The sequence below is a fragment of the Homo sapiens genome, chromosome 13 (genome assembly GCF_000001405.40).
Source record: "Homo sapiens chromosome 13, GRCh38.p14 Primary Assembly".
Classification (NCBI taxonomy): Eukaryota; Metazoa; Chordata; class Mammalia; order Primates; family Hominidae; genus Homo; species Homo sapiens.
The window spans coordinates 27,727,555-27,753,842 of record NC_000013.11 but is presented as its reverse complement, the minus strand read 5'-3'; the positions used below and the strand labels follow the sequence as shown (position 1 = coordinate 27,753,842).

At 44.4% G+C, this 26,288-nt stretch overlaps 1 long non-coding RNA gene across 1 annotated transcript, besides 2 other annotated features; it reads right to left on the bottom strand.

Annotated features, from left to right (window-relative positions):
* Positions 7,846–9,401: an enhancer, noted in NCBI's record as "VISTA enhancer hs1568". NCBI's record gives its function as "enhancer in: hindbrain (rhombencephalon)[4/5] | forebrain[3/5]" and the evidence as "EXISTENCE:transgenic organism evidence [ECO:0001131][PMID:17130149]".
* On the bottom strand, positions 13,708–15,139 carry LOC105370129 (uncharacterized). The gene is made up of 2 exons (XR_941786.2): positions 15,076–15,139; positions 13,708–13,926 (listed from the first exon to the last, which is right to left on the bottom strand). It is a non-coding gene; the product is annotated as an uncharacterized LOC105370129 (long non-coding RNA).
* Positions 24,068–25,267: an enhancer, noted in NCBI's record as "MED14-independent group 3 enhancer chr13:28302713-28303912 (GRCh37/hg19 assembly coordinates)". NCBI's record gives its function as "activates an origin of replication core promoter dependent on BRD2, BRD4, P300/CBP and CDK7 cofactors, and independent of MED14, by STARR-seq in HCT116 cells {active_cell/tissue: HCT116}" and the evidence as "EXISTENCE:reporter gene assay evidence [ECO:0000049][PMID:35650434]".

Sequence of the window (26,288 nt, the reverse complement as noted above, 5' to 3'; positions counted from 1 at the left end):
GAACTCCTGACCTCGTGATCCACCCACCTCGGCCTCCCAAAGTGCTGGAATTACAGGCGTGAGACACCATGCCCGGCTAAAATGTTATTTCTGTGTGTGTCTGTGAGGGTGTTTCCTGAAAAGATTAGTAGACTGACTAAAGAAGATCTCCCTTCACCAATGTGGTGGGCATCATCCAATCCGTTGAGGGCCCGAGTAGAAAAAAAAGGTGGAAGAAGGGGGAATTTCCTCTCTCTTCTTGAGCTGGGACTTCCCTCTTCTCCTGCCTTTAGATATTGGTTCTTGGTTCTCGGACCTTTGGGCTCCGGAACTTGGACTGAATTATGCAACTGGCTTTCCTGGGTGTCCAGGGTGTAGATGGCAGAGGTAGGACTTCTTGGCCAATTGCCACAATAATTCTCTTCACATATATATGCATATATATTCCATTGGTTCTGTTTCTCAAGATGACCCTGACCAATATACTTAGCCTTTCTGTTCATCTGTTGCTCTCTGATGCAAGATAATAACATCATGGCTCTTCTGTGGCTGTTTGCAAAGTTGGCAATGACTCAGGTGGCAGAGCAGCAGAAACTTCTGGGAGTGGGGGGAGCAGGTCACCTCTAAGCAGGGATGGGCCTTGGCACTTTTGCCTTTGTGGACCTTTTCCTTCATAAAAATTTTTTAAAATGTGTTTTATGATGGTGTTGGTATAAAGATGAATATATTAATATTTATGAAAACATTTTCTTTGACCCCAAAGAAAGTTAATTAAAGGAATTAAAACACTTCGTGGGGGGGGGGTCTCTAAAGGTATGGTGGGCCCTAGGCACTGTGCCCACTGCGCCTAACAGAGAGGTTGGCCCTGCCTGCGAAGTCACTCTAAGACCGTGCTCTCCTTCCCACTACATATACTGCAACATAGCAGTTAGGAGTTGGGAGTTAGACAGATCTGGATTTGAATCTTGGCTCTGCTAAACTAGCTGTGGTATCTTGGGTAAGTTGCTTAACTTCTGAGTCTAACGTAGCTTATCTGTAGAGCAGGGAAAGTGATATTCCTCAACAGGATTGATGTAAAGATTAAACACTGAACATAGTGTTTCTCAGTAAATGTGCAGTAAGTGGAGTGAAGCAATGAGAAAACACTCCAAATGTGCCTTGTTCTTCAAAGCGAAATTCATCTGAATTCTTTCTGTTCCCTATGCCCAAAGCCTGGAGTTCTGGAAGTGGAGCTGAATCTACAGTTCAGAGTTAAGGGGCTATAGCAAAATCTAGTAAGACGTAGAAGGCAGGGAGCAGGAAGATTATTACAAAAATTGGAGTAGATCTCATTTTTCATCTTGCTAAGTGCCACCTAAGAAGTGGCCTAAATGCAGCTGCACTGGTTATTTGGGGGACTTTCTGTCTGTTCAGGCGAGGAAAGAGTGAAGCAAGATGGACACAGTCCCCTTTCAGTTCAGCTCTAGATTTAGAGGGATAAAGTGCTTTACCCAAGACAGGGCTCAGCAACGCATTAGGCAACTGATGATGAAAATAACAACTCAACCAATGAACTCACTATAAATGGTAAAAAGATCTGATCTTTGGTATGACAGGTTCCAAGTTGCTTATGTGGTAAACAAAACAAATCTCTTCTTCCCAAGCTTGAAATGCATGCAAATGAAGATTCAGTAGGGTGCATAAAATCCTCTTTTAAAATGCAAATCTCCAAGGGATATTTATGGGGCTATCAATCATTCACACCTTAGAGTGAATTAGTTTAGTGAGCCTGATTTCTTCTCAGCACTTAACTGAGATTTACATTGCTGATGAACAGGAGGTTTGATGGCGTGAGGAAAAAGAGAGGAGAGTATTTCTTGGGTCCTGTTGAAGGACAAGTTTGGAGTTTCGATGCCTTGGGGAGCTTCCAGTGGCTAGATGTGAAGAGGGCATAGGAACCCTGGAGGAGAGGTTGGTATGGGGTGGAGGACAGGTCATGATGAGAAAGGAGCCTCGAGAGAGATGGGGAAACTTTCTAATCTGAATTTTTTTTAAATGGTGAAATCAGCATCCTTAGGTGTTTTATGAAAGAATAAATTGTCATCCTCTTGGATGCAACCTCCACCTCAACCTCTGCTCTGAAAATCCTTTGCACATGGTCTGGCAGATGTCAGGAAGCAAGCTTTTTTCTCATCTCACCAACAAATTATATTTGGTAGTTTGAAAATATGCTTTTTGATTGCTTGGTAGAATTTGAACTTGGCCTGCATGGAAAATCTGTACTTTCATGATAATCCCCCTAGAGAAACACATCTTTTGGTGTTTACTTATTTAATTACAGAGAGCATTCATTTTATATGGTTATTTATCTTGATAAAAAAAAATTCATCCACAGCTTGATAACCCAGCTTGAAAGGGAATCCTCACTGGCCCAGTGAAGTGAGACTGTAAGAAACTCCCTGGGGAATTGATATGATTCTAGCCCAGAAGCTGTGTTGTTTCCGAAAATCATTAGGATAAATTGTTACTCCCACTTCCCAAGGGTGAGCAGGGTCAGTCCCTAACCTAGTTAGGTTGATGATGAAAGCACTACTGCAGTTGGAGGAAAGGCACCTTTTAAATTATGATTTAAAGAGCACAGCTGCATGTCACTAGGCATTTTCTCTCTCTCTCTCTCTCTCTCTCTCTCTCTCTCTCTCTCTCTCTCTCTCGCTTGTTTGGTCTCTAACTCAAGAGACATTTGTTAAGCTTCCTGATGTAGTAGTGCCTAAACCTGGCTGATGATCCTGATGAAGCAGTCCAAAGTCTTCCCTAGCCCTAATATTTATGCATTGCTATCTTCTTTTTGTCACTGCAATTATACTGTATTTCTGCTATCTGGTCCCAGGACAGCTAAGACAATGAACTACAGCTGCAAATATTTAAGGTCTCCTCTCTGAGTTTTTTTTTCCATTAGAATCTAAACCAGCCATTTCCATAAGCTGTAAATCCCTTAAGCAAGCACCTGAATAGCATTATAGATAAAAATAAAACAACCCATTTCTTGCTCTTTCCATGAGATTGTGTGTTAGGGATATGAAGACTCAATTGTGCTTGGAGTATTTTTATCCAGATAAAAGGATAGTAATGTTTATGATTTTGACCCATTTTATTTTATTTATTTATTTATTTTTGAGACAGAGTTTCACTCTTGTTGCCCAGGCTTGAGTGCAATGGCGTGATCTCAGCTCACCGCAACCTCTGCCCCCCGGGTCCTGGTTCAAGCAGTTCTCCTGCCTCAGCCTCCTGAGTAGCTGGGATTACAGGCACGCGCCACCACACCCAGCTAATTTTTGTATTTTTTTTTTTAGTAGAGACGGGGTTTCACCATGTTGGCCAGGCTGGTCTCGATCTCTTGACCTCGTGATCCGCCCGCCTCAGCCTCCCAAAGTGCTGGGATTACAGGTGTGAGCCACCGCGCCCGGCAATTTTGACCCATTTTAAATTTACTTGGCTTGGCTGGGCAGCGGACTCATCCTGGTATATGGTGGGAGGGTGGGAACTTTAAAGTCAGAGGACCTGGGTTTGAATCCCAGCTCTGCCACTTAATAGCCAGAGCCACCGAGAGTAGTTCCTTTCAATCTAGTTTTTTTTTTTTTTAACCTGTAACAGAGAAACAGCAAACATAATATCCAGCTCCCAGAGATAAATCACACAATGCACCTTTGAAGGCACTCAAGGATGCTAGGTTCCTACCTTTGCTCAGATGTTGTTGGGTAAAAGCTTCTTTGTCCTTATAAAGGCCTGAGAGGGGTAGCAAGCTTTAAAAGAAAATTTGAAAAAAATCTCTTTACCAGGTACAAAGGAAATATAAATTCAAGAAGCTCCAAATTGCTGCAGAACTCATATATGTATAGTCTCATTTGGATTAAAAATCTTGAGGGAAAAATCATACTTTCTGCTTGATCCTGGACTTAAAGAGAACGCTACACCAGTGTTTCTCAAACTTTAATGTGCATACAAACCACCTCTTAATCATGTTAAAATGCAGGTTAGTATTGGGGAGGGGCCCAAGATTCTGCTTTTCTAACAAGCTCCTAGATAATGTTGGTTGATGCTGTTGATCTGTGGGCCACACTTGGAAAAGCAAGGTAGACCATGGACTGATGGATGCTTTATCCAGTAATGATATCCTCCACTTGTTTAATACCCAAGACAGTTGCAAAGTGTTTCATACGGTGCCTGGCATACTGTAGGGTGTCAGTATGCCAGGCAGCCTGTCACAATTTTGGCTTTATTATTTAATACACTATTGCTTCATATGATCAAAACTGGGGCAAAGCTGATTTTCCTCTTCAAGGACATGGTAAGAGATGGCTCTCACTGATCTGCTATGGGGAGAGTGACTGCTTCACAGCCAGCCTGCACTGCCAGGTGATCATCTGCCCCAGGTTTTCATAGTAAGGGGAGGGCAGGATGTAGCTGACTTGTGGCCTGGCCAGCTGGGTTCTTGGGACAACTCGGCTTGCAGGGAAGGTCAGAAAAGCCAAGGCCCAGCTTTGAGGGTAACTCCGAAGCCTCAGCTCAGACCATGTCTTCAGTGGGGTGCAGCAACACTCCATGGAAATGGAGAAAGGCATTGAAGGGCATTTATTCTTTCTTCTACTCATTTCACCTTCCGCTTTCTGGCTGCACAGACATAATTGTCAGGCAGCACAAACAGCCTGTGGCAAGCAACATCAAATAATTATAGTCAGAGGGTTGCTGAGTGTCCTGTGTGTAGCTCCCATGGTCTGTGGTTTGATTTATGTGAGGGGCATGATCTTTGGATTGGAAATGGGAAATGTGTGGCACGTGGTGTGCTGTGGAGACAGTACAGCATATTGGGAAGAGCATGGGCTCTGGGGTCAGTTAGACCTTCTTCTAACCCCAGTTCTGTGGTCTCAAGCAACACAGTTGTTCTCCAAGCTTCAGTTTCCTGGTCACTGAAATGGGGCTGTCTATATAAGACTAGCTGGGTTGTTATTGAGAGGTGACAGCGTGCTGGCAGTCCTCACAGCCCTCGCTCGCTCTCGGCGCCTCCTCTGCGTGGGCTCCCACTTTGGCGGCACTTGAGGAGCCCTCCAGCCCACCGCTGCGCTGTGGGAGCCCCTTTCTGGGCTGGCCAAGGCCGGAGCCCACTCCCTCAGCTTGCAGGGAGGTGTGGAGGGAGAGGCGCCAGCGGGAACCAGGGCTGTGTGCGGCGCTTGCGGGCCAGCTGGAGTTCCGGGTGGGCATGGGCTTGGCGGGCCCCGCACTCAGAGCAGCCGGCCAGCCCTGCTGGCCCCGGGCAATGAGGGACTTAGCACCCGGGCCAGCAGCTGTGGAGGGGGTACTGGGTCCCCCAGCAGTGCCAGCCCACGGGCGCTGCACTCGATTTCTCACCGGGCCTTAGCTGCCTTCCCGCGGGGCAGGGCTCTGGACCTGCAGCCCGCCATGCCTGAGCCTCCCACCCGCTCCATGGGCTCTTGTGCGGCCCGAGCCTCCCCGACGAGCGCCACCCCCTGCTCCACGGTGCCCAGTCCCATCGACCACCCAAGGGCTGAGGATTGCGGGTGCACAGCCCTGGGACTGGCAGGCAGCTCCACCTGCAGCCCCGGCGCGGGATCCAATGGGTGAAGCCAGCCGGGCTCCTGAGTCTGGTGGGGACGTGGAGAGTCTTTATGTCTAGCTCAGGGATTGTAAATACACCAATCAGCACTCTGTATCTAACTTAAGGTTTGTAAACACACCAATCAGCACCCTGTGTCTAGCTCAGGGTTTGTGAGTGCACCAATCGACACTCTGTATCTAGCTGCTCTGGTGGGGCCTTGGAGAACCTTTATGTCTAGCTCAGGGATTGTAAATACACCAATCAGCACTCTGTATCTAGCTCAAAGTTTGTAAACACACCAATCAGCACCCTGTGTTTAGCTCAAGGTTTGTGAGTGCACCAATGGACACTCTGTATCTAGCTGCTCTGGTGGGGCCTTGGAGAACCTTTATGTCTAGCTCAGGGATTGTAAACACACCAGTCAGCATCCTGTGTCTAGCTCAGGGTTTGTGAGTGCACCAATCGACGCTCTGTATTTAGCTGCTCTGGTGGGGCCTTGGAGAACCTTTGTGTGGATACTCTGTATCTAACTAATCTGATGGGGACGTGGAGAACCTTTGTGTCTAGCTCAGGGATTGTAAACGCACCAATCAGCACCCTGTCAAAACAGACCACTAGGCTCTACCAGTCAGCAGGATGTGGGTGGGGCCAGATAAGAGAATAAAAGCAGGCTGCCTGAACCAGCAGTGGCAACACACTCGGGTCTCCTTCCATACTGTGGAAGCTTTGTTCTTTCGCTCTCTGCAATAAATCTTGCTATTGCTCACTCTTTGGGTCCACACTGCTTTTATGAGCTGTAACACTCACCGCGAAGGTCTGCATCTTCACTCCTCAAGCACAGGGAGACCATGAGCCCGCCGGGAGGAAGGAACAACTCCAGACGCGCTGCCTTAAGAGCTGTAACACTCATGGCGAAGGTCTTTAGCTTCACTCCTGAGCCAGCGAGACCACGAACTCACCAAAGGAAGAAACTCCAAACACATCTGAACATCAGAAGGAAACAAACTCCAGATGCGCCACCTTAAGAGCTGTAACACTCACCGCGAGGGTCCGCAGCTTCATTCTTGAAGTCAGTGAGACCAAGAACCCACCAATTTTGGACACATTATGACAAATGAGGGAGATGGCTCATTGTAAGATGGCACCATTATAACATGGTACCTTTAATGTTATAGGTACTGGCTAGTTTCTTTCTGGAAGGCGGCATCCACTCAGACAAACAGCCAGGCAAGCTCACTTGGATTACCTACCCCTATCATAATTTTTGCAATCACACATCAGACACAGGGTTAACCCTTAGACCAAGAGTCCTGCATTGCAGGCCATGAGAAGATGGCCTGGATACCTTGGGCTAGCCCTCTTCTCTTACCAAGATCACACCCTGTGCTCTTTTTTGCTCCTGTAGAGTTATAAGCCTTCTGGGATGTGCTGTTCATTTGTAGCTAAGCACGCTGAGCAAGCTGACGATCCTCCACACTGTGCCTATGGATGGTCGGTCACTCTCAGCCTTTGATGCGCCCACCCCTTCCTGTTGGCCAACCAAAGAGAAAACAAAATCTTTTTATCAACAGCCAGGAAAATCTGAGCCAAACCACAAAGTGGCCAACCTACTGAATTAGGCCCTGAGCAGAAACCAGCCCTAAAAGAAAACCTAGTATAGAAAATGATTTTAACAAAAATGTTAACTATTATCATCCTTAGCACAGATCCTATGGGCAAACGGTTAAGATAGTTTTGCAGATTGGTAAACCTTTATAACAGGCCCAACGCTGTTTACTGGTTTAAAAAATGTCTTCTGAATGGCTGAAGATCTCAGGCATGCATTTTGAAGGATAGCAACCCTTTTCCCACATGCGAATCCATGCATACCCTGTTGGCTAAATACTAACCAGGACCTATCAAAAGCATCCAGCTTTACTTGCATATTAAAAAGTCACTCATCGGCTGGGCGCGGTGGCTCACGCCTGTAATCCTAGCACTTTGGGAGGCTGAGGCGGGCGGATCACGAGGTCAGGAGATCGAGACCGTCCTGGCTAACACGGTGAAACCCCGTCTCTACTAAAAATACAAAAAAAATTAGCCGGGCATGGTGACGGGCACCTGTAGTCCCAGCTACTCAGGAGGCTGAGGCAGGAGAATGGCGTGAACCCGGAAGGCAGAGCTTGCAGTGAGCCGAGATCGCGCCAGTGAACTCCAACCTGGGCGACAGGGCGAGACTCTGTCTCAAAAAAAAAAAAAAAAAAAAAAGTCACTCATCAACCAGTTTATTCATTAAGTTTGATTTCGAAGCTCTCTTCCCAGCTGTAATCCCAAGTGGGTCAGAGAGATTGAATTTTGATCATGATGTTTCCTTTTGGGGGCAACCAGAGAATCACAAATAGTAGTGACTTCCTCCTCTTGAATTTTGTCTCCTTTCCCCTCATTCTCAATTTCCAAAGATAAATACCTCTTCTCTCCCATGAAGCATTCTGTTAGATGAAAATGAGAGAAGAGCCGCACAGTCCTGGGACCTCCCAGCCTCAATCGCGAGCAAAATCATTCCCCAGCCTGCAAACAGGCCCTGGTGCAAAGCCACAAAGCAGTGAGGACCCCAACAGCAAATCAAGGCTACCGTGATGCTATATGTTCATGCATGGTTAATGGAGGCAGATACGGGAAACTGCCCTTTAAATGCGTTATAAAGAAGGAAAATCAATCCAGGGGGAACAGCCATTGGTGGGGCTGTGTGCCTGGCCAGAGGTCTCTGAGAAGCCAGTACCCAGGTGAGAAAGCTTGGCAGGGCCCCATGAGCTGTGGCAGGTTTCACTGTACCTACAGATCTCAGAATCATCCAGGCCAAAATCCTTCTCCCAGACCCTCGCTTTCCCACATCTGTTAAGAACTTGACTTTAGGAATTCCTCCCACGCTCACCCCTACCTCTTCCTGCACTGAGTGTCCCTGTGCATTTTGAGGCTGGGGGAGCAGGATGGAAGGATACAAACTTGTGAAATAAACATTTTTGAGAAACCTCCAGATTGTTTCAGAATCAGCAGGACACATGAGCCAGCCACAATAGGTTCACTTTCATGTGGATGCTGGAGCAGGCAAGACTTCCAAGTAAAAACTCTGAATGTGAATTTAGCTAGTTTTGGATAAAGACGCCTTTCAGCGTCAATAAACACCATGAATGCAGCCGCGGTGGAGTTACAACTTAATGAGATGAGGGGAAGTGCACCGGGTCAGGCCTCATCTCCCAGCCTCTGTCATGCTAATCAGCTGGGCAGCCGGCAGCTGAAAAACTGCTGGAATTTTTATTTGCATTTCATTTACTTGGAAGGAAATTGACCCAGATGGTCCACAAAGGCCCTAGAAGGCTGGCAAGCAGTGTAGAGCTGCACACTTCTCAGAGGGCCTGCACTTGTCTGCCCATCCCTCTTTGAGCCTAGGGCATAAAGGATTAAAACAGCGTAAGGGAATTGATTTCATGATTTTTAGATAATTTCCCCAAGATTTCAGAAAGGACCTCAAAAACTAATTTAATCAGCCAGGAGCTCAATAGTAATTAAGGGGAAGAAAAGCTGAGATAATGAAAGAGGTGGTGAGGATTTTTGCTGTTGCTGGTGGGAACCTTTCTTAATTGGGAAAATCTAAAAACTAAATGATGTTAGTGGAGACCAGCCTAGGCATGGGGAGCCAGCAGCCGGCACCACCATCAGCTGATGATGGATTGCCCACGCGGTTCCTCCTCTCCAACGGGCCAGAATGATTGGCCACAGAGGTGCCCTACTTGGCATTTCCATGGGTAGTTGCCTGAATCTGGCAGGTTTGGACTTGTTGGGGAGTACAGGCTTCGTTTCTACACAGTCCTTTCCAGTGAAGGGCTCATTCTTATCCAGGTGGTCATCACCCTTGGATGGCATAGGATTTGGGAGTGCAGGCTCTGGGGTCATGAAAGGGAGGGCGTATTAGGCTGTTCTCGAATGGCTATAAAGAAATACCTGAGACTGGCTAATTTATAAAGAAAAGGGGTTTAATTGGCCCACAGTTCTGCAGGCTGTACAGGAAGCATAATGCTGGCCATCCGCTAGGCTTCTGGGGAGGCCTCAGAAAACTTACAATCATGGCAGAAGGTGAAGGGGAAACAGGCACATCTTACATGGCTGGAGAAGGGGAAGAGAGAGATGGCAAAGGTGCCACACACTTTTAAACAACTAGATCTCGTGAGAACTCTATCATAAGAATATATGAATTGGGAAATTCATATGAATTTCCCATGAAAGGGGGAAATCCGCCCCCACGATCCAGTCACCTCCCACCAGGCCCCACCTCTAACACTGGGGATTACAATTCCACATGAGATTTGGGCAGGGAGACAGATCCAAACTGTATCAGAGGGTAAAGATGAATGTTGAAAATGGGGGCATGGAGCATTCAGGGACACACTCTGTTGAAAGGGAGCCTGACCAATGATTAAACTAATTCCACTTGGGGCCATCTGAGTTCCCCAAGAAGGGGCTGTACATCAGGGAGCACCAGGACAGTGACGGTGCAATGAACTTAAAGTCTGTGTCCACCGAAATTCATGTGTTGAAATCCTAATATCCAAGATGATGGTATTAGAAGGTGGGGCCTTTGGGAGGTGATTAGGTTATGAGGGTGGAACTCTCATGAATGAGATTAGTGCCCTTAGAAAAGGGACTGCAGAGAGCTCCTTCATGCTCTTTCTGCCATGTGAAGACCCAGCAAGAAGACAGCCATCTGCAACCTGCAAGAGAGCCCTCACCAGAACTCGAGCATCCTGACACCCTGATCTTGTACATCCAGGCTCCGGAATTGTGTGCAAATAAATTTCTGTCATGTATCATCTATCCAGCATGGATATGGTTATAGCAGCTGGACTGGACTAAGACAGATGGTGAGAGGGAGCCTGGTTAGGTGCCTGTCCCAGCAAGAGTAGTGTTTCAAAGTGCTATAGTGGGGACAGGCTTTGCATCAGAGACCTTTCTTTCTCAGGAACTTTGGCTCAAAAGCAGAGAGAGCTGACAGGATGAGTACCCTAGGGCAGTTGTTCTCAACCAGAGAACAACTAGAGGCTAGGGATGCTGTTAAACATCCTATACTGCACAGGACAACACCTCATCACCACAAAGAGTTATCAGGTTCAAAATGCCAATAGTGCTGAGGATGGGACACTCTGGTCTAAGGAGAGTCTTTCCTGCTCTTGCAAGAGCTGTTGGCATTGGTTATAGAGGTGGCCGGGTGGCTGTGCTAGCAGAGGAGGCTGACAAAGATGCAGTGTTTGCACTGGTCAAAGGGTTGGCCAAGGTGATGGGTTGGCTCCTGAAGGCAGAGGAGCACATCCCACAGCCAAGCTGTGAAGCATACAGACTTTGCCGACAATGGCCTAGAACTTGTATCCCATGCTCTTCAGTCAATAGTTGAGAAATTATTTAACCTGTTTGAGCATCAGTTTTCTCTTCTATAAAATGGGAATAACACTTCCTTCCTCTCAGGGCTGTTGTGTGGAGAAAATGACATAATGCATGGTGGAGTGTTCAACACAGGGCATCTCTGCCTCCACTAGACTCCTCAGCAGGGTTTCCTGCAGGAAGCAACGCTGGGCGATACAGTGGCGGGAGTGGGAGCAGAGTCAGTGGGTGTAGGGGATGGGGCTAATGAAGGCCTGATGGGGAGAGGCTTGAGATGCATTCCTTTCCTTGGTCAGGAGAGGACTCAGTCATTGCCCAAAAAGGACCAATGGATTACAGTTGAGTGGGACATCAAGGTGGGCCAGGGTCTTCCTGTGAATAGGGACTCATTCAGATATCAGCTCAGGAGGAAGAAGGCACTGTTGATGGTACGTTCCAATCTGCTCAGAATCTCTCTTCTCCCAAGAAAAACTGAGTTACCTTTTTGAGCTTCCCCGCAACTTCCCTTGGATTGGCCCCACACTCACCCAAGTGAGCCACCAAGACAGTGTCATAAGGAGAGTCAAGACATATCCTAGCCCAGGCCTGCAGGTGATGCAGCTGGAGCGCCATCTTGAAGCGAGAATTGTAGGAATTCCCTCTGGAACTTCTGGGAGAACCCATTGTTCAGTCCTAGATGTATCAGACAGAAAGTCCAGGATGTGCAAACATGTGTGGTCCAAGTGTTTCAGGTGGTGAACTGTGGAAACGTCCCATAGAAGATGTTAGATGTTTTCAAAAGGACCCTGTAGACCAGCATCTTCACATATCTAACTTTTCTAAAGAAAGTGGGGTTTTTTTTCAAATAAGAAGATAGGGTCTACTCGGACAGGCTGATAATGGTTGTTGGCAGGCTCCGCCCGGCTTCTGGAGCTCTGGCAGAGGCCTTTAGAATTGGGGGGGAAGGGCCAGCCATTTGTCAGTGGTCCCCAGCTCTTGGTGGAAGCCACTGTGATCAAAACATGTGGTTCTTTTCCAGAGGTGCAAGGCCAGCTCCCAGAGAGGAGGATTTGAACTATGGCTAAAATACATGTCTGCCTCAGTGAATGTTACAAAGTCCCAAGTCAGATCAACAACTCCAACAAAGTATTTGGTAACACAGAGAGAAGCAGGAACTTTGATGTTGTCATTATGAAAATGCATCCAAAGACTTCAGAAAAAACTGTGGCATGCATGAAGGAGCTGCTGAAGTCAATGGAGGAAGATGTAGAAAGAAGTGAGCCTGACAACAAAGGCCCGGATGGAGCATGTGACAGCAGGTGGCATTTACAGGAAAGGCTGTCGGGGATTGAACTGCATGAGAGACCAGGGAGACTGCTTGAATTCTTGCTGTTAATAAAGCCAATTCTGGAGAAGGAGGAGGAGGAAAAGAAACCAAAACATTTCTATAGGCTTGTAGAAAAACAGAAGGCTGCTGCTGAGTTAGCAACTAGATCCCTAGATCTGGCCTTGGTGGCAGATGCCACCACACTGAGGCAACATCTACGGGCCTTAAGTGATTGACAGTGGCCAAGCCCCATCCCCAAAACTGTGTGTCTCTCAGTGAAAGCTGCAGGGCCCAGCAAAACATGTTTGTCCAGTTCTCTACTTTGTACCAGAAGTTGGGCCGGGTCTCCAGGGAACCATGGCTGGTCCTGCAAAACCAACTGCTTGCATAAGGAAAGATAAGAAATGACCCTTGGTCTTTCATACAAGGCACCCTTGTCCTTGAAAGTATAGATACCACTTAGAAGGGCAGTCTGATTCCTCTTCCCTAGGAGTAGTCAGGGTCCCAGACCAATGCGGACATCGACGTAGAAGGATAAGCATACTTTGTGGTCGTAAGAGATGAGAATCAGGTTATTAAAATAGGATCAAGTCTTTCTGTGGTTACCACTTGTTCTACCTGTAAGTTCAAGACCTGGCAAGGCCAGTCCCCCGGAGCATGGGTCTCACAGGTTTTTTTGTTTTGTTTTTTGTTTTTTTGAGATGGAGTCTTGCTCTATTGCCCAGGCTGGAGTGCTGGAGTGCAGTGGCATGATCTCGGCTCACTGCAACCTCCATCTCCTGGATTCCAGCGATTCTCCTGTCTCAACCTCCTGAATAGCTGGATTACAGGCACACACCACCATGCCTGGCTAATTTTTGTATTTTTAGTAGAGACGGGGTTTCACCATGTTGCCCAGGCTTGTCTCGAATTCCTGACCTCAGGTGATCCGCCCACCTTGGCCTCCCAAAGTGCTGGGATTACAGGTGTGAGTCGCTGTGCTTGGCCAAGGGCCTCACATGCTCTGCAGTAAGCAGGGTATGTGCTGTGCCAGGAGAACTCCTTGAGGAGGCTGTGTAAGGGATGGATGAAGTGGCACAGCTGCAGTGGCGTGTCATGATCTGGCAGAGATGATGCTGGTGGTGGCCTCACAAGGACTGGCCCTAGCCTCTTCCAAGTTCTGTCCCTTTCTTGCAAACCAGCTAGCCTTCTAACAATCAAATGGGGATGCCTTATGCTTCTCTTATGGTACTTACAGAAAATGTCTAGAAAGATCCAAATGTGCATACACTTCCACATTTAGCTGGACTAAGACTGAGTAGGACACAGTGCTACAGGAGGTGTGTGTCCTGGATTACTTACTTACAGGGGTTTCATGTTTCAGAGGGTTAAACATACTGCATATTACCTGATAGCAATAGTTGACAGAAATAAAGAAAACAAATCAAGTTTTTCTGCTGTTTTTATCAGCTAAGAAGGACAGCCCAATCATCCTAGGTTGGGGGTGCATTTTGAAGTGTAATGGAGATGGCATTTGGAGACATGGAAGCACTAGAGGTTCTTGTGTACTTTTGTCAAGATGTGGGATGAGCAGCAGATGCGGCTAAGGTCCTAGACCTACTTACTGGAGGGAGCCCCACACAGCCAGTGATGCTCCGCTGATCTGTAACACAAAAAAATAAAGAATCAAGGATCATAGGAGGGAAGAATCAAAGATCTTGAAAAAAGAATAATAGACATATTTTGAATTTCTCCCAAATGTTCTTTTAGCACTTTAATTTGTGTTATACCTATTATTACCCATAAAACAAAAGAATTTTTCCCATAACCAATTATTATGAATGTTTCCTATACCATTTAACCAATAAAACTAATCTGGTTGGTTGGAGCCTCTCATGAGGTCATCAATAGGGGCTATTGGTCCTCTTAATTCGTATTGTCAGCTTGGAGGTTTTGGTTTACTTGTATGCATTGGCACCTAACCGACATATATCACTTAACTTTTGTGGCCAGACCCTTTTTTTCTCATGTATCAAACAAGGTTGCATGGCACAACACATGTATTGTTCTGAAGATATTACAAAAAGGATATGGAAGAAAGAAGGAGAATGGTGTAGTGGAAAGCAATGATTTCAGAGTCAGAACTGAACCTAATATATATAGTTGACCCTTGAACAACACAGGAGTTAGGAGTGCTCACGCCCCCATGCAGCAGAAAATTCATGTATAATTTTAAAAAATTGACAATTAGTAGTTTCACATATTCATGAGATATATAGTGATGTTTCTGTGCATATAATGTGTGGTGATCAGATCAGGGTAATTAGCATATTCATCATTTCCAACATTTATTATTTCTTTGTGTTAGGAACATTCAATATCCTCCTTCTAGCTACTTGAAACTATACAATATATTATTGTTAACTATAGACTCCCTACAGTGCTATAGAACACTAGAAGTTATTCTTCCTATCTAGCTGTAATTTTGTATCTTTTAACACATCTCTTCCCACCCTTCCCTTCCCCCAACCGTTCCCAGCCTCTGGTATCTTAAGACCATTTTACTTTTTACTTCTCTAAGATCAACTTTTAAAGTTGCTATATATGAGTGAGAACATGTGGTGTTTAACTTTTGACTCCCCCAGAGCTTTACCAATAGCCTACTGTTGACGGGAAGCCCTACCAACAGCCCACAGAGTTGATTAACACTTTTTTTTGTATGTTTTAAGTATTATATGCTATATTCTTTTAATAAGGTAGCTAGATAAAAGAAAATATTAAGACAATCATAAGAAAGAGAAAATATATTTACCATTTATTAAGCGGAAGATCATCACAAAGTCCTCATTCTCATCATCTTCATGTTGAATAAGCTGAGGAGGAGGAAGAGGAGGGGTTAGTCTTGCTCTCTCAGGAGTGGCATAGGCCAAAGAGGTGGAGGAGGTGGAAGGGGAGGCAGGAGAGGCTGGCACACTTGATGTAATTCTTACTGAAAAAAATCTGAATATAATTGGACCCATGCAGTTCAAATCCATGTTGTTCAAGGGTCAACTGTATTAGAAAGGAGAAGAAAACTTATTATGTGTAGGTAATGTAATTTCCACTTAGAAAATGCAAGAACTGAAAAACCATCAAAATTTATAAAATAATTTACCTAGGTGGCAGGATATAAGATAAATATAAAAAAAAGAATAGCATTTTTATACCAAGAAATAATCAATTAGAGGATACAATGAGAACCAAATCTCTTTATGTTAGAAACAACCTCTTCCCCAACACACACACACACACACATACACACACACACACACACAACACAGAACCTACGAATAATTTAATGAGAAATATGAAGGATTTATACAGAAAATAATAAATTATAAATCTTTATTGAGAGATACAAATACTGATATGAGCAAACAGTAAGACATGGTGTCACTGAATAGGAAAAAATACAAGCAATTCTTTTCAAATTATGAATGTATAGGTTGAGTGTTATCTATACATTCTAAAACATGCTGAGATTACTTTTTCTTTAGAACTGAAAAAAAAAGGCAGATCAAAGCAGAATACTTCCATATATTGGAATGAATGTCCTTGACTGATCCAGGCAGCAGCAGAGCATGGAAAGGCATGATTCCTAAATTTTTATCTCTAGCCTGGACTTCTCCCTTGTACTCCAGACTCATACATAAAACTGCCTAGTGATATTTCTACCTAGATGCATAATAAACATCTCAAATTTGATTCGCCCCAAACCAAGTTCCAAATCCCTCTCACTACCCACCGAAAAACTTGCATCTGAGTTTTCTCTCTATGAAATAACAACTCCTTCTTTTCTAGTTTTTTCTTGGAGTTATCTCTAAGTCATCATTAACTCCTCTCTTTGATGCTCCACATCTAATTTATCAGTGAATCCTATTGGCCCTACCCTCAGATTATAGCCAGAATCTAACCTCCTTTTACTTCTTTCTCTGCCTTCTCCCTGCCCAATCTGTCATTAAAACTTTCCTGGACTTTTTTTTTCAGTTGCTTTGTTTACTCTTTTATCCTTAGAGTCTAAAATACTACCTGACACATGGTAGGCACTTACTATATATTGATTGAATGAATGAATCAATTGTACCAGGCACTTTGTGAATCTTTTTATTCTGTAAATTCATGTCCATCAATTCCAGGAAATTTTGTTACAATATTTCATTGATTATTTCCTCCCCTGTATTATCTCTGCTCTCTTTTTCTGGAACTCCTATTATTCAGGAGTTGAGCAACCTGGAGTTGTACTCTACTTCTATTTTCAATATCTTTTATCTTTTTTTTCTACTTTTTGAACTATTTCCTCAGCTCAATCTTGCAGCCATTTATTGAAGTTTTCATTTCTGCTATCATGTTTTTAATTTCCAGGAGCTCTTTTTTGTTCCTTTCATTTGTTCCCTTAGTGTCTGTGCTTGTTTTATTGATATAAGGTCTTTGCTCACCTTTCTAAGAATGTTAATGATAATGTTTTTGCTTTGTTATTTTTTTTTAAGGAATCCTCTCACTTCTTGATTTCTGTTTTATGCCAGGTGACTTTCCTGTTTGTTTGAGTTCTCAGCTATCTATTAACCTTTGATGTCTGTTAATGATTTAGAGTTCTTTTAAAGCTTGTTGTCCTTCCCAGGCCTTGAGGGGTCTTGAGGAACATCCAATGTCCCTATCTTTGTTTTATCCTCTTCGGCTTTAAGGTTTCTTAGTCTCCTGCTTGGGGGGCAAGGATCTGGCTGCTGGTGTTCTGGGAACTGGATGGGAGAAAACAACTGGTGAGGGTGAAGTTGGGAGGGGAGCAGGGGCAGTTTCAGCTCCTGCTCCACTAGCACTAACCACCTAATCCTCCTGTTCTCAGAATGGCACTGTCATATGTCCTCATTGCCAGAGGTCCTCTGAAGAGAGCAAACCTCCAGTCTTCTTTCCTCATAGAGGAGGGCAGATGCCCAGTGGAGTGGAATGGGTGTGTGTGCCGGTCTTGGGGTAGAACTTCTTCTCAGATGGTTTCAGCTGTCCTTCTTGTTTTAGTTCTTCTCCTTTACCCCTGGTTTCAGAGACACCTGGTGCTCCCAGTCCTTGTGCCTTTTGAGGGTTTTGTGACAGAAATTGAGCTGGATTTGGGATTCAGCTTGCTTAGTTTTACAACATTTGTTACTATTTGTCTCTTGGATTTACAATTCTAAATATTGCTTTTGTTCCTCTCCTGTTCTCCTGGATTAGAAAAAAATCTCTTTCCTTTGGTTTTAGTGGTGTTTCTAGAGGGACTAAATTGGATGCATGTGTTAAATCTATCATAATAACCTAGAGCTCCCTGCTTTGTCTTTTTCATACGATGATCATAATTTGACACCATATTATTTGTTTATTAAAAGTTTCCCCCATTGGAATGGTAACTCTTCAAAGACAAAGACCTGAACTGTCATGTTTATTACTATATTGCTCATAACCTAATACACACTGGGTACTCAGAAAATATATTGGATAATGAAGGACCAAAAGGGACAAAGGCCAGACAAACTTTCTCATATACAACTTGAGCACATCAGGTAAAAAGTTCTTAGGGTTTCTAGGTCCTCAATATGAGTGCAATGGTTTATGGCAGCCAGAGCAATGAACATAACAAAAAACTGATGTTGGCCTGCAATGTCGGAACCAGAGCGTATTAGGTTTCTAGAGCTGCCACACCAAAGTACCACAGAGTGAGTGGCTTAAACCACAGAAATTAATTTTCTCACACTTCTGGAGGTCAGAAGTCCTACATCAAGGTGTTGGCAGAATTGGTGTCTTCTGAGGCATCTCTCTTTGACTTACATGGTCATCTTCTTCCTGTGTCTTCACACAGTTTTCCCTCTGTGCATGTGTGTCCAAATTTCCTCTTCTTTGTTATTTTTTATTTACTTATTTATTTTTTGAGACAGAGTCTAGCTCTGTCACCCAGGCTGGAGTGAAATGGCACTATCTCAGCTCACTGTAACCTCTGCCTCCCGGGTTCAAGCGACTCTCCTGCCTCAGCCTCCCGAGTAGCTGGGATTACAAGCAGCTGCCCCCACGCCTGGCTAATATTTGTATTTTTAGTAGAGAGGGGGTTTCACCATGTTGGCCTGGCTGGTCTCGAACTCCTGACCTCAGGTGATCTGCCCGTCTCGGCCTCCCAAAGTGCTGGGATTACAGGCATGAGCTACCGTGCCTAGCCCATTTCCTCTTTTTTTTTTTTTTTTTTTTTTTTTGAGACGGAGTCTCGCTCTGTCACCCAGGCTGGAGTGCAGTGGCATGATCTTGGCTCACTGCAAGCTCCGCCTCCTGGGTCCATGCCATTCTCCTGCCTCAGCCTCCTGAGTAGCTGGGACTACAGGCGCCCGCCACCACGCCCAGCTAATTTTTTGTATTTTTAGTAGAGATGGGGTTTCACCATGTTAGCCAGGATGGTCTCGATCTCCTGACCTCGTGATCCGCCAGCCTCGGCCTCCCAGAGTGCTGGGATTACAGGCGTGAGCCACTGCACCTGGCCCCATTTCCTCTTCTTATAAGGACACCTGTCATATTGAATCAGTGCCCACCCTAATGACCTAATTTTAACTTAATCACGTCTTTAAAGATTCTATCTACAAATATACTCACATTTGAAGGCAATTATTCTGGGGGTAGGACTTCAGCATCTGAATTTGGAGGGAACACATTTCAGCCTGTAACATTTTACCCCCAAATTCATGTCCTTTTCACATTCAGAATACACCCATCCCATCCCAAGAGCCTCAAAAGTCAACTCATTCCCGCACCAACTCTAAGTTCAAAATCTCATCTAAACATCATCTAAAGCAGATATGGGGCCAGGCACAGTGGCTGACGCCTGTAATCCCAGCAGTTTGGGAGGCTGGGGCGGGCGGATCACCTGAGGTCAGGGGTTTGAGACCAGCCTGCCCAACATGGCAAAACCCTGTCTCTACTAAAAATACAAAAAATTAGCTGGGCCTGGTGGTGGGCACCTGTAATCCTAGCTACTTGGGAGGCTGAGGCAGGAGAATCGCTTGAACCTGGGAGGTAGAGGTTTCAGTGAGCTGAGATAGTGTCATTGCACTCCAGCCTGGGCGACAAGAGTGAAATTCTGTCTCCAAAAAAAAGCAGATATGGGTGAGGTATGATTCATCTGAGTAAAATTGTTCTCCAGCTGTGAACCTGTGAAACTAGACAAGTTGTTTGCTTTCAAAATATAATAGTGGGATAGGTTTAGGATAGGCGTGTCCATTCCAAAGGGAAGAAATCAGAAAAAAAGAGGGAGTTATGAGGCCCAAACAAATCTAAAATCTAGCAGAACAAATTTCATTTGATTTTTTTTTTTTTTTTTTTTTTGAGACAGAGTCTCACTCAGTCATCCCAGCTTGAGTGCAGTAGTGTCATCATAGCTCACTGCAAACTTGAACTCTCCTGGGCTCAGGTGGTCCTCCCACTTCAGCCTCCCGAGTAGTTGGGACTACAGGCATGAGCCACCACACCCCACTAATTTTTTTTTTATTGTTTGTAGAGACAGGGTCTTGCTATGTTGCCCAGGTTGGTCTCAAATTCCTGGGCTCAAGCAATCCTCCCACCTTGGCCTCCCAAAGTGTTGGGATTACAGGCATGAGCCACTGCACCCGGCAGCAAATTCCATTAAATTTTAAGGTTTGAGAATAATTCTCTTTGGCTGATGCTCTGTCCTCTGGGCCAGCCAGGGTGGCCCTACCCTCAGGGCCCACCAAAATGGAGGTCTCAATCTCTTGGTCCTGAGTGGCGACTCCAACCTCTAGAACTGAAGAGGAATCATCCCGGCCCTTGGGCTTCTTGAATTAATAATTTTTTTAATTGTAACAAATCTAAAGATTCTCTTAACATTTTAGTTCACCCAAGGAAGGAAAGAATGGCCTTTTTAACATAAGGCCATATGCCTTCTACGGGGGCAATAAACTAAAACTCAAAGTTCACTGAGTTCTAGTTTCTCCATCCCCAAAACTTAGATACTGAACTCAAATCTCTATTCCATGAAAAATTATGTTCTGTGAAAAAAAATAGAAAGAAAAGCAGTAACTTCTTAGAATGTTAATTATCAAAGATAACAACAATGTAGGTTTTGTCTTAGCAGGGGTAAAAGGGACCACAATCCCTAGGTCAGCAGAGAGGGGACACAGGGCAAGGGGACATGGGATGGGACCTATGATCACACCCATCCTGGCTCACCTTACCACTTCTCATCCCAGCCTTGGGGAGCACACCCTGGGAACACCATCTAGCAAGAGTATAATATGTTTGTATGATTTCTGTGAGGGTGAGGATAGAGGCAATCGTTCACTTTCTTGGTCTACCTTCTAGACTTGTCCTATTTAAATCTTTCCTGGCTGGGTGCAGCAGTTCATGCCTATAATCCTAGCACTTTGGGAGGCTGAGGTGGGAGGATCATTTGAGCTCAGGAGTTCGAGACCAGTCTGGGCAACACAGCAAGACTCCGTGTCTACAAAAAATACAAAATATGAAATAAAAATCAGCCAGGCATGGTGGTGCATCACTGTAGTCCCAGCTACTCAGGAGGCTAAGATAGGAGGATCGCTTGACCCCAGGAGTTCAAGGCTGCAGTGAGCTGTGATGGCGCCACTGCACTCCAGCCTGGGTGACATAGTGAGACTCTGTCTCTGTAAATAAATAAAATAAATCTTTCTCAAGAACTGTGTTTTTATTCTATTTTAAAAGATAGCCTTAGGTCAATACCATTCAGGACATAGGCATGGGCAAGGACTTCATGACTAAAACACCAAAAGCAATGGCAACAAAAGCCAAAATAGACAAATGGGATCTAATTAAACTAAAGAGCTTCTGCAGAGCAAAAGAAACTACCATCAGAGTGAAAAGGCAACCTACAGAATGGGAGAAAATTTTTGCAATCTACCCATCTGACAAAGGGCTAGTATCCAGAATCTACAAAGAACATAAACAAATTTACAAGAAAAAAACAAACAACCCCATCAAAAAGTGGGCAAAGGATATGAACAGACACTTCTCAAAAGAAGACATTTATGCAGCCAACAGACACATGAAAAAATGCTCACCATCACTGGTCATCAGAGAAATGCAAATCAAAACCACAATGAAATACCATCTCACGCCAGTTAGAATGGTGATCATTAAAAAGTCAGGAAACGACAGATGCTGGAGAGGATGTGGAGAAATAGGAACACTTTTTTTACACTGTTGGGAGTATAAATTAGTTCAACCATTGTGGAAGACAGTGTGGCAATTCCTCAAGGATCTAGAACTAGAAATACCATTAGACCCAGCAATTGCATTACTGGGTATATACCCAAAGGATTATAAATCATGCTACTATAAAGACACATGCACACATATGTTTATTGCAGCACTATTCACAACAGCAAAGACTTGGAACCCAAATGTCCCTCAGTGATAGACTGGATTAAGAAAATGTGGCACATATACACCATGGAATACTATGCAGCCATAAAAAGGATGAATTCATGTCCTTTGCAGGGACATGGATGAAGCTGGAAATCATCATTCTCAGCAAACTATCACAAGGATAGAAAACCAAACGCCACATGTTCTCACTCGTAGGTGGGAATTGAACAATGAGAACACGTGGACACAGGGGAGGGAACATCACACACCGGGGCCTTTCTGGCGCTGGGGGAGGGATAGCATTAGGAGAAATACCTAATGTAAATGACAAGTTGATGGGTGCAGCAAACCAACATGACACATGTATACCTATGTAACAAACCTGCCCATTGTGCACATGTACCCTAGAACTTAAAGTACAATTAAAAAAAAAAAAGAAAAAACAACAAAAAAAGATAGCCTTAGGAAAATATCTTGTATCTCATAGCAGTAATCCCCAATAAGCACATATCAATACTTAATTTCATGTGTGCTTTTATATCACTCAGGATCTGGTCATTGGAAGGAACTTACATAAAGTTCTCCTCAGTGTGTGGACTTTGTGATCACACAGATCCAGGTTCTATTCTGCTATCTATTTGCTGTGTGAACTTGGGAAGTTCCTTGATCTTTGAGTTTCAATTTCCTCATTTATAAAATGAGTATAGCAATCTTACCCTCAACAATTGTGCTATATTATTATATTGTAATAGTAGCTAGCAACAATTAGAAATGAACTTTCCTGGCAGAGAGATATTTATTCATGACTTTCAAGAACTCTGTCCCTGGAGTTTTTAGAGTTCTACACATATATTTGCTCGATGGGCTTTCTGCATCTTCTCAGTTCAATATAGAGTCACAAAGTGTTCACTGGATTCTGCCTTTCTCGGGCACTTCATATCTACTGGGTTCAGGCTCCTCAACCACATCTCGCTAGGCCTGGCATCTCCCCGACTGGCTGATGGTGTTGATAGAATTATTTTTAAAAAGTCATCAGAACTGTGGTATCTAGTAAGTGTTAAGTGGTATCAATAGTTTGATTTTTGCTCCTTCTGCATTGAAGTGGATGGATGGTTTTCCTATTCTTTTTTTTAGGCAGAGTCTCACTCTGTTGCCCAGGCTAGAGTGCAATGGCACGATCTCGGCTCACTGCAACCTCTGCCTCCCGGGTTCAAGCAATTCTCCTGCCTCAGCCTCCCAAGTAGCTGGGATTACAGGTGCCCACTACCATGCCCAGCTAATTTTTGTATTTTTTTAGTAGAGACAGAGTTTCACCATGTTTCCCAGGCTGGTCTCGCACTCCTGGCCTCAAGAGATCCACCTGCCTCGGCCTCTCAAAGTGCTGGCAGTTTTCCATTTCTTTTTAACTGGACAAAATGGAAATGGGAGAATGCTTAAGAGTAAAAGTGAGAGAGAGGAACAGCAGGCTGAAGTTGTCTTCTGGTTGAAGGGCACTTTTTTGGGTTTTTATTGATAATTTCTCCTCCTTACTTGCCCCCACACTTCACACACTTTAAATGAGAACTGTTTGTGACTACTTTTGCCATAAAAACACTCATGAGAAAAAGACAGGGCTTTGAAATGCCGCCATTCCTCAATGTGTCCAGAAGAAAACTTAAGCTCACCTCAAGTCCAAAGGTGCATACTGACTGAAAAAACGACAATTCACGATCAGGAAGTTCTGAGCAAGGACAGAGAGCCCAGCTTAGGGCAACAGGACCAGCCTCAGCTGTAGCTTTGTCAAGCTGCTGAAGAAGGTGAGCAAAACCACTTCCTTGGGAAGAAAATCAAATTCAAGATAACAGACTTCCTTCAACTTTAGCGTTGTTTCATCCTTGCATAAAATTAAGAACAAACCCAAACTTTTCTCCAAAAATACGATGTAAGCAAAAATGCTGTGGGGCAGCAAGCCAGACTTCAAACAGCCCTAAAACGTCCTTTGCCTACACACCAGATAGTTCAAGGAAGCCGAAAAGTGCCCACGGGAAGATTTTGTATGGGAACTTTAACTTCCCATTCCGTTTGACTTTTGGTCTTTAAAATACAGGTCAAATCAATGAATTTAATGGAGGCCGGTTAACACAATGGCTTTGCCTTGCATTTTGACCCACATAAAGGGGAGGCAGTCCGGGGCACAAAGCTTCAGCAGAACTTTAAGTGGTTAGTACACAAACGTGACAGAACGTTTAGAATCTCAGGGACTTGCGAGACCTATTGACAAGCAGTTAAAAGTATTTGAAATAGCTGCATGAATGAACTTTGATAAGGTAGCACTATTGTCTTCCATTGTCTCTTTCTCTTCATACGAAAACTCCCCCAAAAGAACAAGAGTCAATGAATGTGAAATGTAGTGTCAGTTTTACTGGACTCTGGACGCCTTTGAGCACTGCGACTTTTTGTGGCGAGTTCATGCTACTTAAAAGTATTCTTCCCTCTGAGTTTCAACTCTTGCAAATGGTGACTTCTTAGTTCACTGCCCACCCAAGTCTTTTCCAACTGCTTTCACACCGTGAATAGCTCTTTAAGTTAAAAGCAGTGAAGATTAATTTCAGTATTTTTGCTTCTTCTTGACACTTGGGTTTTTCAAGACAGATGCCTGGTCACTCGGCCCTAAGCTCAGTGGAGGGGGTGAGGGGTGGAACAGAGCGGGAAGGAGGCCTGTCCTTCTGCAACCTAAAGATGCCAAGAGCATGGGCAGGCAGCTCCATTCCAGAAATCTGCTGAATCACCTTCCGACTTGGGAGAGAGGAGGAAACAAACAAAATCTGACTAAGTAACACATTTTAAAGAAATGTGGGGGCAAGAGAATAGGGTGGGGGAAGGGGTGTCAGCCCCAAATAACTCCTTATGAATTGCTGCGAGCCAGTGTCTCCATTCCAGGAAAGGCCTGTCTCCAAGGGTCATCTCTACCTGTCTTTACATATATTTTTTTCATCAGCAAACATCCATTTTTCCAAGCTGTGTCTAAAATATGAGTTCCCGGGGAGGCTCCTCCATTGTTTGAAAACATCCTCTCCCGTCCGTAAGTTGCGAGGAAACAGTGGTGGGACACAGAAAGTCCACAAAGGCCCTGTCTAAAGAGCCATGTGTTGGTTTCACAGGGTTTCATAGTTCTAAGATTTGCTAAATATGCTTTGGGGGGTTTTCTCAGTAAATCTCTATAGATAGATTTTATTGTATTTTACCCTTTTGTCTGTTTTTTGTGTGTGTGTCTGAAATTTCTCCCTTATTCATTGACCAGTAACTTTCTGTCACCCATCTTTGACTTTTCTCCTTACATCTGCATTTAAGCTGTCATTTACTTCTGCCATTCCCTCCTCTCAATATCTGACAGCCAAAGCCTCCATGCGCTTTTATCCCTTTGTGTTTGCATTATGACATAACCTGTGCAAAGTGGCCCAGCTCCCCAATTCTTGTATGTAAAATTTGCAACATTTTTTGAGACGGGTCAGTGCCCATTTTTGGGATCCTTTTCTTTATCTGAGTACCGTGTTAAAACTTTTTGCAGATGTGGCCTATTCAGGAGCAGGCTGCGGCTGCATGCAGAGATGGGGAAAAGAAGAAAAGGCCTTCCTATTTTGTGATTGCCATAGTAACTCAAACATTGCCAGTGTGTTCGCTGGTCCGGTCAGCCACAGCCCGGGAGCTTGATTTCCTGTGCAATCAAGCCCTCTACTGGAGATCATGGCTTGTGTGACACGGGGCTACACAGAGGACAGTGTGCTTGTTAGGCCTGAAATTAAGCATTTCACTTTAAAATAATACCCATTTGTATCCATTTTGTTCAACATAACAACAGCTGCTGTCCCTGGAATGACAGACTTGCCTTTTAAACCAAAGCTTCATATGACATTTATGAATGAGGCCAGTTCCATTCATTTGCGGTTTGAATTCACAGTAGTTATTTTTGCTGTTTTTTTCCCTTCCCCGGCATATGGGTGAAATTCAACATTATTCAAGTAATTATATACACAGTTCATGAGGAGGAAAAAGCCTGCTTTCTTTGTGTCATCTCTTTTAAACTAGTTAGTAGGCTTTAGTTCTTTTTTCTTAAGAAGGCAAAATATAGAAGACGAATTGATGTTAACTTTAAACATGCTGATTACCTCAAAATAGTGACAGAACACAAGAAGAGGCAATGTTGTCGCCGGGTTTTGTTGATTCATTTTTTTTTTTTTTTTTTTGGATAAACAACAAAAAGCATCAATCCAAGCCGCTCACTGGGAAAGCAGCAGTGAAATTCTGGGCAGAACCCTCCTGCTAAAGTCTTTAAAATGACAGCTCTGCGTTCTTGTTTTGCCTGCCAAGTGCCAGGGCCCAGAAAGGTGAACAAGACTGCAGGGCATTGCCCAGGTGAAGATGCCTGATTCGGGACAAAAGACAAAATGGCAGGCCTTTCAGGATACGCTGCAGTTTTACAATATTGAGAGTACTTAAAAAATTGACGTTTAGTCACCACGTTAACCCATAGATGCAGTGCAGTGGGGACGCATGACTAACATCCCTATGAAGGAGCAGCACCATTGATGCATTGATGGTGCTTTTCCTCCTGCTCCTGCTCCTCCCTCTCCTCCTCCTTGGTCATCG